At 38.7% G+C, this 16,132-nt stretch overlaps 1 protein-coding gene across 8 annotated transcripts in view, besides 1 other annotated feature; it reads left to right on the forward strand.

Moving 5' to 3' along the window:
* The window catches only part of SLC44A1 (solute carrier family 44 member 1), a 193,854-nt gene that overhangs the window by 50,835 nt on the left and 126,887 nt on the right, over positions 1–16,132 (forward strand). For 7 of the 8 annotated variants that reach the window (NM_001330731.2, NM_080546.5, NM_001286730.2 and 4 more), the window contains exons 2-3: positions 3,735–3,824; positions 14,239–14,381. In NM_001330731.2, the coding sequence (NP_001317660.1) occupies positions 3,735–3,824; positions 14,239–14,381 (233 nt within the window). Of the gene's footprint in view, positions 1–3,734; positions 3,825–4,187; positions 4,453–14,238; positions 14,382–16,132 lie in introns of those variants that run through there. The other variant, XM_047423117.1, reaches the window with a different exon arrangement.
* Positions 3,491–4,690: an enhancer, noted in NCBI's record as "CDK7 strongly-dependent group 2 enhancer chr9:108061257-108062456 (GRCh37/hg19 assembly coordinates)". NCBI's record gives its function as "activates an origin of replication core promoter dependent on BRD2, BRD4, P300/CBP, MED14 and CDK7 cofactors, with strong dependence on CDK7, by STARR-seq in HCT116 cells {active_cell/tissue: HCT116}" and the evidence as "EXISTENCE:reporter gene assay evidence [ECO:0000049][PMID:35650434]".

Below are 16,132 nucleotides of genomic sequence, written 5' to 3' on the forward strand. Positions count from 1 at the left end.
CAGCATTAAATCCTGTTGCCACTTGGTTAAATCTGTTAAAGAATTATTAAAAATTTTCAACTCTTCGGTTTTCTGACTCACTTGAGAAACTTCATGGCTCATAACACATCTCACTTGCTTTCCCTGTACCAACAGGATTTAAAATTATTGAGTTGGCTCCCAAATTTTTCAATGTGAGGAGAAACTAATTGAGGTTATTGCTTTTTACTAACTAGTACAAATAAAAAATAGTCTTATTGGAATAGGCTTTGGAGTCACAGACTTGGGGCGGGGAGTGGGGGGGAGGGCGCCAAAGACTGATTGTGCAGGTGTGAAACCTTAGGCTGATTATTTAACTTCTGAGCCTGAGTTTCCTCATCTGTGAAATAGAGACGATACCTACATGAGCTGTTTTGAATGTAGAAGACATAATATTTGTAAAGCTTTGAGTCTAATGTCTGATTAATAGTAATCAATAACTGATGGCATTAACAATGGCAGCTAAAATGAAATATGCCACCATTAAGTCAAAATTTTAGTACGTATAAGGGAAAAAGAGTTTAATATTCTTTATATCCTTTTTAGTGGGAAGGTCCACTTGGTAAAAGGATATTTTAATAACAGAGAGAGGGTTAACTGAAAAGTATTGATGAATAATAATAACCAAGAATTGAGTGCATGCTGTGTGACTGGTGCTCACATTTGCTTCTCAAAACAGCCCTGTGAAGTAAGCCACCCCTCCTCCGCTAAGTGTTCCTTTGTCCAAGTGAGGGTGATCACTTTTGTTCTTCCATACTACTTAAGACTCTGTCAGTATTTTTTATATGTAACTCCTACCCTCTCTCCACTTCTCATTCCCAGTGAAAGAATTTCTGTGTATTTAGCACAGACGTGACCCACAGCAAGTTGAATCGACTTGTTGAGATGTTGAATCTTTGTATTTTTCTGGTCAAAAATGAACTATCTCTGTATGTTATAGATGAAAATTTAGGCATTAATGAACTGAATGTTGGTCTAAGGTAAAAATACTAAGAAAATAGTTGGGGATAAAGAAACTACACAACCAACCTGAGGCTTCTCCCTTTCTTCCCTCCCCATACATGCTGTTTGTTAAGACAAACAAATACAGCATTTCAAAGTAGCTTTTGCTTTATAAACTACCATAGAGTAAACGTAATGAATATCAAACATGTGTCCAAATTCTCTGTTTGGAAGCAGTTTTACTGTAATGGGTACTATTCAAGACTGAAATTATTTAATACAAAGAAACATTCTTTATTCACACTGTGAACAACTGTCTTCCAAAATACAGACCACAATACAGGCATTCTTATATGAATAATACAGAGAATTATGTCAAATTATTTTGCAGTTTTTCCTAGTCATAACAAAGTTTCCACAAAAGTGCGTTCTTGATCATAGATTTTAGAGTTGGAAGGAACCTAAGAGATCCAGACTAACTCCTTCCTGCCACCCAGAGATATGAAGCAATTTATCTAAATTCATGTAGCTAACTAATGACAGAGCCAGGGAGAGAACCAGTCCTTCATCTCTTACGCCACAATGCTACATTCCTCTGGGAAAAAAACTGCCTACTCATTCTTGGTTTTTAATGCTAGTTAGAGTCTTAGGGTAAGGTTTTTTTCCATGACTAACTAGTGCTCTTTTGTTTTCTGTGTGGGTGTTTGGGAACAAGCTAACTGGTTGTGTTTTTTGTTTTGTTCTGTTCATAACAATTATACAGTGTAAGGCAATAACAAAGCATTTGTTTAACACTTTAGGGGTTAGGAAGAAATTGTTTTAACTCCAATTCTCCGCCCTCATTGTTGATAGGCAGATATTTTAAAGTTGTGTTTTTTCATCTGGGGTTTGAATTCCCTAAATTCTTATGAAAATTATGTGAATATATGCTTACTTTTTTTCTTTGTTTGTTTTTGAGATGGAGTTGCGCTCTTGTTGCTCAGGCTGGAGTGCAATGGCGCGATTTTGGCTTACCACAACCTCCGCCTCCCGGGTTCAAGCGATTTTCCTGCCTCAGCCTCCCAAGTAGCTGGGATTACTGGCATGCACCACCACACCCGTTTAACTTTGTATTTTTAGTAGAGACGGGGTTTCTCCATGTTGGTCAGACTGGTCTCGAGCTCCCGACCTCAGGTGATCGCCCGCCTCGGCAACCCAAAGTGCTGGGATTACAGGCATGAGCCACCATGCCTGGCCTGTGCTTACATATTAAGAAAAGAATCTGTAGTTTTCATCAGGTTATCAAAGGATACATAGTTCAACACTATGGTTTTAGAGGGAGAGAGAACTAAGCCTGGTTGCACTCTATATATACTAATTGTACCAGAGGGCTCCCTTATCTCCAGCCCCCTCCTGCTCATGCCCTTTCCTCCTGACAAGACTTTTCCAAATAGCTTCCTGGATCTTGTCACGGAAGCCACTGGAGGCCTGAACCTTCTCAGAGGAACCTTTCCCATAGGTTTTCCAAGGATACCTTCTTTCTCCCTTCACTGCTTACTGTTTCCAGGAGAGGGTGTGAGACTCGGGCATTTTTGTTCATTAGAAAGCTCAGGGGGGTTATTTCAGTTAGATTTCCATTAAAAGGGATTTGTGAGCTGACCCGAGATCCTAAGACTATTGAAATAAGAAAAAAAAAAATGCAGTTGGAATTCCAGTCAATACTTTGCAAGTTAACTTTTAGAATGCCGCTAGTTCTGTAGTTCAGGATTCTCTGTGTTTGATCTAGAAACTAACATTTTCTAGGAACAAGATGAAAATGCATGGATTGTTTAGGAGCTGCACAGATCTGTCTATAGAAACTGAATTTTTTTTTGACTTAGATAAATCTACCCCTGAATAGGAATCCCGTTTTTGTTGTTGTTGTTGTTGTTGTTTGTTTGTTTTTGAGATGGAGTTTTGCTCTTGTTGCCCAGGCTGGAGTGCAGTGGCACGATCTTGGCTCACTGCAACCTCCGCCTCTTGAATTCAAGCGGTTCTCCTGCCTCAGCCTCCCGAGTAGCTGGAATTACAGCCCACCACCACGCCCAGCTAATGTTTGTATTTTTAGTAGAGACGGGGTTTCGCCATGTTGGCCAGGCTGGTCTCAAACTCCTGACCTCAGGTGATCTGCCCGCCTCGGCCTCCCAAAGTGCTGGGATTACAGATGTGAGCCACTGGGCCCGGCCTGAATAGGAATCCATTTTGATGGGCATCTTTCCTAGAAGAGAACATATATATAAACAGCACATTCTAACTTTTTTTTTAAGTTTAGCATCTGGACACACAAAGAAAAAGCTAGCATTAAGAGTGAAGTTGGAAGAGTGTATTCATTTATTTATTCATTTTTAAAAAGCCCTCACTGAGTACATATTATGAACCCTCAGGCATCATGTTAGATGCCGAGAAATAAGCCTGGTCTCTTCCTTATGACACTCACAGTCTGCTGGGACACAGCATAACAAATAAGAATGACAATTTAGCCTGCTAAAAACTCTAATACAGGTACCAAAAAAGCGATGAACTCAGTACCGGGCCTGGCCAGGAAGAGGGGTGGGAGTAGGGCCAGTGGAGTTATTAGCTGTGGGGGTTAGCATAAACGTCACAGAAAAGGTGACAAATATTTGAGTTGTGTCTTAAAGGTTCAATAGAAACTTGTTTGGCAAAGAAGGGCTCTAGCTATAGCTGGTGTATTTGTGCCCTTCTAACTTTAACTAAACTTAGCATTTAACACTCTCTTATTTTGTATTTCCAATTAGAGCTCCAAACGAGAATGGAAGCCGCTGGAGGACCGTAGCTGCACAGACATACCATGGCTGCTGCTCTTCATCCTCTTCTGCATTGGGATGGTAAGGAAACTCTCACAGATGGTCCAAACTGGACTCATGATCCAAGGGAATGACGAGTAGTTGTTTTAATGAGGGCAGTTGTGGAATATACCAGTCCTCATACAATTCAGTGGTATTTTGTGTCACTCTTGATTTGTTTTTCTACATGAAAACTGAGCTCAAATTAAGGAGCAGCTGGGACTCATATGCCATTCAATAGACCATTTCAGAAAGCAAATCATTTGACGTAAGTCTCTGAATGTTGATCTTGATAGAGTGGTGAGCAAAACAGTGACCATGAGTCATGAGCCCTGCATATTCACCCAACCCAGTCACACCAACTTGTTGGTTATCTTTAGGGCAGTCATTTCCTCTCAGGGACTTGGTGTTCCACAGTTCTTCCTAGATGGGAGGCTGGTTGCTCACTGCTCCTTCCTCCTTCTGCCTGTCCTAGGCCCCTGCTGCCTTCTGTGTCTGCTGTAATGAGTGGCATCTTTCGATTGGAGATGAAGGGACCTGGTGGTTTTCCAACGGCCCCTGCTGCCTGCTGTGTCTGCTGTAATGAGTGGCATCTTTCAATTAGAGATCAAGGGACCTGGTGATTTTCCAGTGGGTATAGAGAATGGAGGAGCAGAGTTGCTGGTATAAGGTATTAAGGATGTGCACATTCAATTGCATACTCACTCTGCCCTACAGGAGTTTCTGACACAGACTTCAGTGGCATTAGAGTCCCTGCCAGTGTGCTGGGCTGGAAAAAACATAGAAAACTGCTATTTTTAAAGCGGTCTGATATTTAGAAGTAGAAAGGACATGGAAATCCTCATCTAGTCCATCGCCCTTATTTTACAGATTAAAAACATCAAACTCAGAGATGGAAATTACTATCCCAAGGCCACACTGCTAGTTCATGACAGAGCTGAGAACAGAGCCCAGGTCTGTTCACTTCCAGATCAATGCTGTTTTCTAACACCCCATTTCCTCTTCCTCAAGGGGACTCTGCAGATACATTATTGCTCTCTCTTTCTTAGTCTTCTACAATTCAAAATGCAATTACACTACCTCAGGCAGCCTTGTTCCTACTCATGTGTATTTTTAACCCCCTTCTTACTATACCTTTTATAGAGTTTCTTTATGAAAATCTTGCTCTTTGTCTCCTCTGACTGCCCACCAGGCCAGCGCCATTTGTGAATCACAGAACAACTGTCATCTTGGCTAATAGGCACAATTGTAGGTACCAGTTCTGCCTCTGAGAAAAGGAAAAGAAAGCAATACATTTTAATGAGATACGATAAATCCAGTAAAATAAGGAGTGTTTATTTTAAAGATAAAAGCACCGTTTCACCAAATTTAGGATATTTAGGAAAGGTCAAAATACTCATCTCCTAACTTAATGACTTAAAAGATATTGCTCAAAAGTTTACTTAGTTTAATGGAATGGCAGCTGAAATATAACATGCATGAATGTTTATGCAGCGTGTGGAGAAAAAAAATTTTTTTTTTTTTTTGAGACAGAATTTTGCTCTTGTTGCCCATGCTGGAGTGCATGGTGTGATCTCGGCTCACTGCAACCTCCACCTCCCAGGTTCAAGTGATTCTCCTTACACAGCCTCCCAAGTAGCTGGGATTACAGGCATGTACCACCACGCCCAGCTAATTTTGAATTTTTAGATGGGGTTTCACCGTGTTGGCCAGGCTGATCTCAAACTCCTGACCTCAGGTGATCCACCCATCTCGGCCTCCCAAAGTGCTGGGATTACAGGCGTGAGCCACCGCACCCTGCCATAGAAAGATTCTTTGATAACAGAATTAGTCCACAGCCTTTCCCCACTCCCTGAATGTAACCCTGGGACAAATAGCAGCTGACCTTTCAAAATTGTTTACAAAAACATGTACCATGCCACCCGAGGTGCTTTGGATTTTCTGTGCTAAAACAGGTCAGGAAAGTGCAATCATTAATGTTAATAGGCTGATTTGGGAGTGACTTGAGACTAAGGAGTTATTTGTTTACTGAAACATTTTAATGCAATGGTAATTAATATAATGTTGATTTCAGTATGATGGTAATTAAGACCCACTGTGTGTACTTTTAAATGTTGGCATAGCATTATTTGTTTTCGAATGATTCCTTTAATGGATTACTACCTTCATGGAATTGAGCTAACATCGTATTTTGCCATGTGGAAATAAGAAATCTCAAAGTTCTATTCCTTGGCACAACAGAGATTCAGCATTTTTTGGCTTCTGAGTATTTGTTTTAAACGATTTTTAGACGATTTCTCTCTCTTTGGATTTCATTCTATAGTACTTTTAAAATAAACATTTAACAAACATTTGTTGGGCATTAATCTATGCTCAACACTTTAGTACGTGTATATATATATATCTGTATGTATCTTTTAAATTTTTTTCAATGAAATAGGTTTTATCCCCTGCTTATAGACAAAGTATAGCAAGGTTAAATATTAGCTTGTCTAAGAATATACTGCTGGAAATAAGTGGCAAAGATAGAATAGGAACTGGAACTTTCTGGCTATGTCCTTTTAATCGAGTGGCCCAGCTGCCTGCTTCTCTTACAGATTATTTCTTCTTAGTAATCTTGCAGCCTGACACTCAAACCATACCTTTATTCTCTGACTTTATTTGCAGTTTTTTGCTGATTTTTTGATACCTATGGTCTAGTTCTTAAATATTCTAAGATCTTGTCATCTTTCACTCATCTCTACCATTAAATCTTATACATGTTCATCTCTTCATCAATATTTGTACTTCTCTTTTATTTCTTCCCTTAGTTTCAAGGTTTTTCTAATGCTTGAGTTGTCTAGAACTTAGAGTGTTTTTCAAAGCAAGTTGCTGTCAGCCTTCTTAAGTTCTATCTTCTACATTTGAACTTTCATCACTATTTTGGAATTACTGGGCATATACTTAACTCTGCTCCAAAGAATTACTTGTAACATTGCACATTTGTATAAATATACAAATATAAATTTGTATATTTCATTAAGGCAGTAAACAAGTGGTTTTTAGCCCTAGCTGTACATTGGAATTAGCTGGGATCTCTTCTTTTTTTTCTTTTCTTTTTTTTTGAGACAGAGTCTTGCTCTGTCATTCAGGCTAGAGTGCAGGGTGCGATCTTGGCTCACTGCAACCTCTGCTTCCCAGGTTCAAGCAATTTTCCTGCCTCGGCCTCCTGAGTAGCTGAGATTTCAGGCACCCAGCACCACTCTTGGTTAATTTTTGCATTTTCAATAGAGATGGAGTTTCACCATGTTGGCCAGGTGGTCTCGAACTCCTGACCTCAAGTGATCTGCATGCCTCGGCCTCCCAAAGTGCTGGAATTACCGGTGTGAACCACTGTGCCCAGCCTAGAATTAGCTGGGATCTTTTCTAAAAAAAAAAAAAAAACCTAATTCCTCAGGCCTACCTCAGGGATTCTCATATAATCTCTGCAAACCTGATGTTCAGCCAAAGTTGAGACCCACTATTATAGGCACAGATAAACCACTGAAAAGTATTGAGCAAGAAGTGATATGAGTGGGTTTAGAAAGATGGCGCTGGCAGCTAATGTTAAAGATGGCTTGGAAGGTTGAAAGAGGTTTCAGGCAGATCACTCTGGAGGCTGATGTAATGGTCCAGATAAGAGGTGAAAAACCTGAAATAAAGTAGTGCTAAAGGAGAGGAAGAGAGAGATTGAAGAATTAGGATCCGTAACATTTATCAATGGTGTTATCAGTGTTGCAGACAAGTGAGAGACAGATCAAGGATGACTAAGAGGTTCTTGTGTTAGGGGTTCAGGATAGGTTTCTCAGCTCAAATCCCACCCCAGCTCCTCCTGGGTTCTCAACCACGGTTTCTGTACACATCAGGAAACAAGAGTGGGATGGATAAATAAAGCACCACTTTATTAGTAGATACCTGATTATGCCCAATAAGGTACTCCCTGGTAAAAATAACTTGTGGAATGAAGCTTGGGCCCAAAAGGCTAAAGTTCCTTCCCATCTAGGATGGTCTGACTTCATTCTGTCTCAAGGAGAGGTATTTGTCAGAAAAGGAGAAGAAGAGAGAATGGAGATCTACCTGGATGAAATCTGCCCAGATTAGCTTACCACAAAAAGGCAAGAAGGGAGGAGGCTGGATGGCCCTAACAAGAGTGCTTACCATGGAAAACAGAAGATACAGAGACCCCCTACAACTTACTTACCCTAGTAGTTATTGCTGCTTACTATGAGCTAGACACTGTTCTTAGCACTTGACATATAGAAACTCATTTAATTCCCACACCTGCTCAAGGACGTATACATTGTTGTTATCACATTCCCATTTTACAGAGAAGGAAACAGAGGCATAGAGATAAGCTCAATAACTGTCTAAGATTACATAGTGGCAGCACTGAACCCAGAAGAGAAGAGGTAGAAGGGGAGGCCTCAAGAGGTAGACCCCACTCTGTTGCCTGGAATTGAGGACAACAGAAAAAGTTGTTCAGAACATGGACCTGTAGGACCAGTAACCTTGCTTGCCAGTGAAACGTGGTCTCATCAGTATCTCAGGCTCTGACCAAATCGCTTGGCATCACCTCTTCCTTTAGTATGTTGTTAGGAAGCTAGGGTGAGGAGCAGAAGCATGGAGAAAGGAGACTGCAGTCTTCCACTTCATATCTTGTGTGTGCCATCTAGTAGATAAGTGGTGCCACCAATGGAGATAGAGTATATGGAGGAAAGGGAAGTGTGGAATGAGAAAATGAGTTGTGGACATGTAGAATTTGTGAGTAAGGAGAAGCAGTTAGAAATGCAAAGTTGGAATCTTGGAGAATGATCTGGAATAGAGTTGGATTTAGGGGACATCATCTCATAGTTTGTCCCTTCAGACTGCTTTCAAGGAAGGACCTTTTCTATTTTATATAGCATTGATTTACTTCCCAGGGCATGATGTTTCTACCTCATTAACTATTGTTGAGCGTGCAGAACAGAGTGAGAGATTCACTGCAGTATTTAGACACCTGTTTGATGGGCTGTTCTTTGCTGGGATCACAGAAATAAGAACAACAACATTCCAAAAATTACCATAAGGTTACCTGATCCAAATGACTTGCTACTTTCTATTAAGTCTGTTTCCTTTCTTTATTTTAATATTGTGATTATTACTTATTAATGTACCTAACATAGTATTTACCATTTTAACCATTTTTAAGTATGTAGTTCAGTTAAATTCATTTGTTTTTAATCTGCTTTTGCTTTATTTATTCTCAGTCACTGTAGTAAACCAAACAGGTGTGAACTTCTCCCTGCAAGTATACTCTTAAAAATTGTACTCTGTGTCTGCTTTCCCTTAGAATCATAATAGTTTTGAAGAGGAAGGGCTTTAGAGATTCATCTAATTCTATCCTTGTGATGATAAGGAAACTGAGGCTCAGGGAATAAAAAGTTACTTGCTCATGATGGTAAGGAGTGTTCATGGCAAAGTGAGGGTCAGTTTTCAGTCTTCCTTGTCTGTGTTCTTTTCATTGTTTTAGCTGCCCATGAAATTGAGCCTATGATTTCACTCCCTCATGCTGATTATTTTCTTCCCTCTTGAGGACACTTCAATTCTTTTAGGGTAAACCTTGCATTTGTATATGCTCAATAAATGCTTATTGAGTAGTTATTCCCTAGACTTTCTATCGTTTTTTTTTTTTTTTTTTTTTTTTTTTTTTTTTTTTTTTTTTCAGAGTCAAGGTCTCACTCTATTGCCCAGGCTGGAGTGCAGTAGCATGATCATGGCTCACTGCAGTCTTGAACTCCTGGGTTCAAGCAATCCTCCTGCTTCAGCCTCCTGAGTAGCTGGTACTACAGGCATGTGCCACCATGTCTGGCTAATATTTTTATTTTTGTAGAGACAGGGTCTCACTATGTTGCCCAAGCTGGTCTCAAACTCCTGGCCTCAAGTAATTCTCCCACCTCAGCCTCCCAAAGTGCTGGAATTACAGGGATGAACCACTGCTCCTGGCCTCATTCTTTTTTTTTCCTTCTTCTTTCCTCATTCTTAGAGAGAGGCATCCTATTACATTTTTTTAAAAGTCTGGAAATCTGACAGATTGATACAAGTTTATAATTAATTTTGTTTAATTTGTTTACATAAATACTCACTCTGCATCAGGCCTTTTATCCTGCCCTATCTGCTGGGTCCCAATAGCCCTCTGTATCTTAAGGTTCTCAAAAGAGGCGAAACAGAAGGCAAATGTTCCAGGATTTTACAAATCAGTTATTATGAGCTCGAGCCCAAGCACTGATGAGATACGGGCTTTATAGAGGTTAAGTGAAGGAGGTGGTATCTGAGAAAAAGAGAGTCAATATATGTTTTCATTAATTCCACAGGAGAGGGCTTTAAGCAGAACTCCTTTTTTCCCTACCTTTTTATTTTGAAACATTTTGCCATACTCATACACCATCTCCCACCCACTCTATACATGTTTTTGTTGACCATTTTTTTCAAAACTAAATTTAGTCCTTCTGCTTTGCTCAGTTACTTAGTAAAAGCTCTATGTGTAAAATTCAAACATGCTTGTGAAATAAAAGTGTGTCCTTTTTTTTTTTTTTTTTTTTTTTTACTAATAGCAAATAAAACTAAGCAAAAGCCCTTACTTAGGTACAACTAGACCTTGTGATATGAAGGGAAAATGAGCACAGTTCATTAATGAGTAAATTGTCTTTCTCCACTTAGGCAGTTGGTACTTATGAGTTGCCAGGTCATGCCTCTGACCCACCATCCCTGTATGCCTTCATCTGATTTAAGTCACCTCCTATTTGTGAATAAATTTGTCTGTTCCTCTTCTCTCTCTTAAAATAGCAGTGCTGAAAGCACTTCCATAGCTCAGTCATTTGAACATTTTAGCCGTGGTTTTCTTCCTTGCTAATAGTCTTACTTTCTCTCTAAGATTGCTTCCTACTCCATGCTTATGAAAGCCTTCCTTATGCCCTTATCATTTGCTTCATTAATGTGATTTTTCCTTCTGTTGAATGCCTTTTCCCTCTCTCTCTGCTGAACCATTAAATTATGGAGTGTATTCTGTAAAGTTTCTCTCACCCCACTTTAATTTCATGTGCCACATTTTTTCCTTTCTGAAACTATATTGCTTCCCACATTCGGATTTTAGAATTTTTCTTTTTAAAGAGATTGTATTTTTAATTATATTTGGCCTACTTCCCCATTGTCAATGCTTGTACCGTGTGAGAAGTCCCTAGGATGATAGTCATGGTTTTTTCCCATCTTATTAGCTTATTATTCTCCTTGCCCACCCCCCACCCCTGGCAGCTTCCCACCCTCTCTAATGCTTCTGGAAGCTACTAAGAAGTTTAAGTGGCCTATGTGAAAATATGTCAGTGTCCCATTTTAGCATATATATGTAACATTTACAATTTATACCCCTGCCTACATCCGAGAGGGTTGTGAGGTGGCTTATGATGATAAAGAAAAAAACCCACATGTCCAACAGTACAGTTAAGAATAGTCAGAAAAGGAAATCAGAAACCACTTAAAGGTATCTGTAACACAATGTACTTATCAAACATAAGAAGAAAATTCCTATAAAAAGTAAAAGAAGAACATAACCTTTTAATTATCTAACAACTTTGCTATTTTAGATTAGTAGTGAAAGAAGATTGTAATTGTGGTCTGAAAATATTTTTGTACGGTAACGAAATTACTGGCATTCTCACTGTTCCCCCTAGAAATTTTTGTTCTAAAATAGAGAACCAAAGGGGTTTTTGTTAGTGTCCAGTTACTGTTGTTAACCTCTTTAGTCTGACTTTCCCATTCAAATTCACCCCTAACAGCTACCATTTATTGATCACCTGCCATGTACCAGACATTCAGCTAGGGATCGGATATGCATTATTTCATTTAGTTCTCATCATTAGGCTGTGAAATAGATGGTATTACTCTGTATTAGAGATGAGGAGGGAACAGAGTCTAAGTATGTAATTAGATCAAAATTACACAGCTAGTAATTGGCAGAGTGAGGGTTTGAATCCAGGTCTTACTGAATACGAAGTCCATTCCCTTACCATTAATCTGAGTCTTCTTGTTAAAACATGTGTTGGAGGCCACACGCGGTGGCTCACGCATGTAATCCCAGCACTTTGGGAGGCCGAGGCAGATGGATCACTTGAGGTCAGGAGTTTGAGACCAGCCTGGCCAATATGGTGAAACCCTGTGTCTACTAAAGATACAAAAATTAGCTGCATGTGGTGGTGCATGCCTGTCCTCCCAGCTGCTCAGGAGGCTGATGCAGGAGAATCGCTTGAACCTGGAAGGCAGAGGTTGCAGTGAGCCGAGATCGTGCCACTGTGTTCCAGCCTGGGTGACAGAGCTAGACTCCATCTTAAAAAAAAAAAAAAAAATGTGTTGGAAAGGTTAGCTATTAAACCTCCTAATACTTAACCTCCTTTTCCAGTTTTTACTCAGCACAGGGCTTCCTAATTTGGAATTCAAAGATATGCTTAAAATGGTATGCTGATTCACACATGTAAATATGCAAATATGTATGCAGAGGATTAAATATTTTTTTTCTATGTCTTAGCATTGGGTTGAAGTTCTGAGGTGGGATTGACTGCCCTGTAGTGTCCTTGGAGGAGTCAGGAGAGGGGGAGAGGGGCAACAGGGTGAGTGTGAATGAGTAAGTACTGACCAGCTGTGTCTAACCCTGCTGCTAGCAGTTTGTGCTGCTTGGAGGCAGAAGGAGACTAACATGTATTGAGACTTGCACTTTACATGTAACATGTATTATTTCATGTAATTCTCATAACAGCCTTTGTGGTAAGTGGTTTTAACTTTAACTTATAGATGGCAAACTGAGGCACAGAATTAAGTAAGTTTGTCCAAGGTCACCCAAGAAGAAAATGGACTCATCAGTATTCCATTGATCAACACAGGCTTTTCTGACCCCAAAGCCCACCATCTTTCCCTTATAGCATATTCTCATTTCTAATAATAGTACCTAACAACTATAATAGCTAAGACTTTATTGAGCTCTTACTATATGCCAGGCAGGTTTTTTACCACTTTACTGGATTACATCATTTAATCCTCACAACAGCCTGATGAGCTACAATTATCTCAATTTTACAGATGAGTAAATTGAGACAGAAAGTTGAAGCTAGTGAGTAGCAAATCAGGGCTAGTCTCTACTCTCAGTCTACTTTTTTACGAAGTATAGCTTCACGAAGTTTCTACTGACTGTAGCTATGTTCTCTATTCTTTCCTTGTAGCTCCCTTACCTGCACAATGAAAGTACAGGGCTTATTTAGAACACAGTTTGTTTGCCTTTTTGGGTAAGTATATTTAAAGGGGAAATACTTTTCTCTGAGGAATTGCATATGAGTATAGTATTTTCCACTGTAGGCCTTGGATCTAGCAGGGCTATTTACATAAGTACTACTCGTGATACTTGGCTGTGATTAATTAAATAATGATAGTCTCTGCCTTCTTAGCCAGTTTACTAAAGATAATAAAAATGTAACCTTTTAACGATCAGATTGCAAGAATAGTTCTTAACCTCAGTCTTTCCCACCAATACAATCAATTTATCAGTAGTGATTCACTTTCTGTTCTTCTGGCTAGTAGCTTGCTGTCAAGCGTAGGCTTTTATTGCTTTGTTTTGGTCAGTGCATGCTTGACTTAGCAAGCATGATGTGCTTCTGAAGTATCTACCATTTGCCTTTAGTACTGTGATGAAGCATATTCCCATGAAATGAAGTGACCTTTGCAGTATACAAAGCCAGTGCCTTACTCTCCTCCAGTCTTCAATATTAAGAGCATGGCAGTGCTTCACGATGTAATTCTTTGACTTGTATACAGCTTTATTGCAGGAAGGAAACAGAAGTATTGGGTGCACTGAAGTGATAATGATTCAAAACCCACGTTCCTATTGTTCTTTGAATTTTTTTCTTTCATCCTTTGCTGATGTTCACTTAACGGAACCCCTTTACAACCAAATGAAACTAGAGAATGAGGGAAGCTGGGTTTGATTCTATGCTCTGATCTTTACTAGCTTTGATGGCCTTGGATAACTTGTTTAACATCTCTACGCCTCAGTTTCTTCATCATGAGGATTAGAGATAACGTACTACAAGCACCTATTAAGAGTACACAAACTGGCACAGAGCAGATGTTCTGTAAAGGGGAGCTGCTATTATTACTATTATTATTATTATAAAATTCAAAGTTGACCTTATGATGTAAAGGTTGGGATTTGTTTTGTTATGGTAGTAAATAGTGTTTCCCTATGGACTTCTTTGTACTGTTTATGTGCAATCCAAGGAAAACAGTGGAATAGTGTTTGCAGTAAGAAAAGATAGCTCTTTGTTCCCTTCAGCAGACAAAAAGAAGCTCATTATCGTATCAACTAGTGACTGTTGGCTATTGAAATGGTTTATTTGTATGTTTTTTTCTGTTTCTTTCCTAGGGATTTATTTGTGGCTTTTCAATAGCAACAGGTGCAGCAGCAAGACTAGTGTCAGGATACGACAGCTATGGAAATATCTGTGGGCAGAAAAATACAAAGTTGGAAGCAATACCAAACAGTGGCATGGACCACACCCAGCGGAAGTGAGTAGACTTGCTGAATGATGAACACATGGAAACTTTGAAAGAGGCACAGAGAAAATCCTGCTGTTCTTGCTGTTTTAAAGATAATATCTTACCAAATATTATTTTTATGTGACTTCTGTTGGTGTGTTTGATTTTTTTTCACTGAACCCTTGAATGATTCTTCTTATTGGTCTACAAATAACATTCTTCAGGAAACAGAATTAGCTACCATGTTAAAATGGTCTACCTTTACCCATGTTAATGGGTAAAGGCTTGATTTGAAAAGGTTATTCTTTTACTCTTTTTTTTTCTTTAGCCTTTAAGTTATATACTAGTTTTAACCCTGTAACATATTTTCCTCTAAGATTATGCTTAATGGGAGACAGAGGGATGATAATGGATTTTGAAATATTAACATAATAGAAAATATTTTATGTTGTATCATTTATAAGTATACATCAGTTTCCAACTTTATAAAAGATACATTTTGTCAGACTTTAAAATTTGCTTTGGGTTCTCAATATTCATCTTTTAGATTTCATGAAATTCCTGACTTAATTGACTGTTTTCTTCAAAAGGGCTATCATTTTGTTTTTAATACCTGTAGGGAAAATAGATTTCATCTAGCATATTTTATGTATGATGCTAATATATTTGTACAGACTATATATTTATGCCCCATGAAACCTTATTAGGCATTTTAAGTATCTAACTTGTTCTTCAGAATTAACAAAACTAATTTTAAGGTAGTAGGCTAACTAATCCAGTTAATGCACTTTATAGGAAAAGGCTAAGCAGGTATCATTTTTAAGGTTATAGGTCTATTATAAAGCATTTTCCAGGAAGGTGGTATGTAATAACTGTATTTATTATTATATAAATCTGTCAGTTAAATCTGGGCCCCTAGTGGGAAGTATAAGATTAATTTGATAATGTCACAAACCTGAAGAAATCCAAATAGTTAATTTCTCAGCGTTATTACTCCCATTAATGAAGATAAGATAATGCAGTTTAAATAAACAAAATTGTAAATAACAGCGATGAGTGTTTGTATGGCATCCCAAAGTCAACTAGCATGTGATACCACCCTGTGAGGTAGGTGAAACAGAGGCTTGGAAGATTGAAGTAATTTTCCCAAAGTCACATGTCTGGTGGGCTGTAGAATATCCAGCCCAGAAGATGAGTTTTTCTCTTGATATGCACCTGTATCCATTGAGAGAAGTGAAAGTTGGACTCTTAGCAATTTGAAGAATTGTTACATTTCTTCTTCTTTATGATTGCTTCATGAAACTAATGCAAATTTTAGACTGTATGTTATTTCTTGTAGCAAGACTACGATTTTTTTATTTTTATTTTGAAATAACTTTAGACTCATATAAGTTGCAAATATAGTACAGAGTTCCACAGTACTATTTTTTGTAGATAGCATCTACTCTGTAAAATATTATTTAACTCTTTAATGCTGCTGACAGGTATCAAATATAAAATATTACAATTTAGATAATTGAGGAGATAAGAGGAAAAGGGATCTGCTCCGTCAGGTCTTCTGCTTACATGGGATTGGAATCATTTTTATGGCTCCTTTCATAACTTGCCATGACTCCAAGCCTGTTCTCACCATAAAGTTTGTGTAAATGCTACTCTTCATGTTTAACCTTGTGGTGATTCATCTGTTCAGTAGAGCAGGCTGCAAATACTTGGATTATTCTATGTACCTTTCAGCCTCTTCCAAGAGAGGCTACTTATGATTCTGAAAAAGTGGTCACTAT

Source organism: Homo sapiens, chromosome 9, assembly GCF_000001405.40.
Source record: "Homo sapiens chromosome 9, GRCh38.p14 Primary Assembly".
NCBI classification, from domain to species: domain Eukaryota; kingdom Metazoa; phylum Chordata; class Mammalia; order Primates; family Hominidae; genus Homo; species Homo sapiens.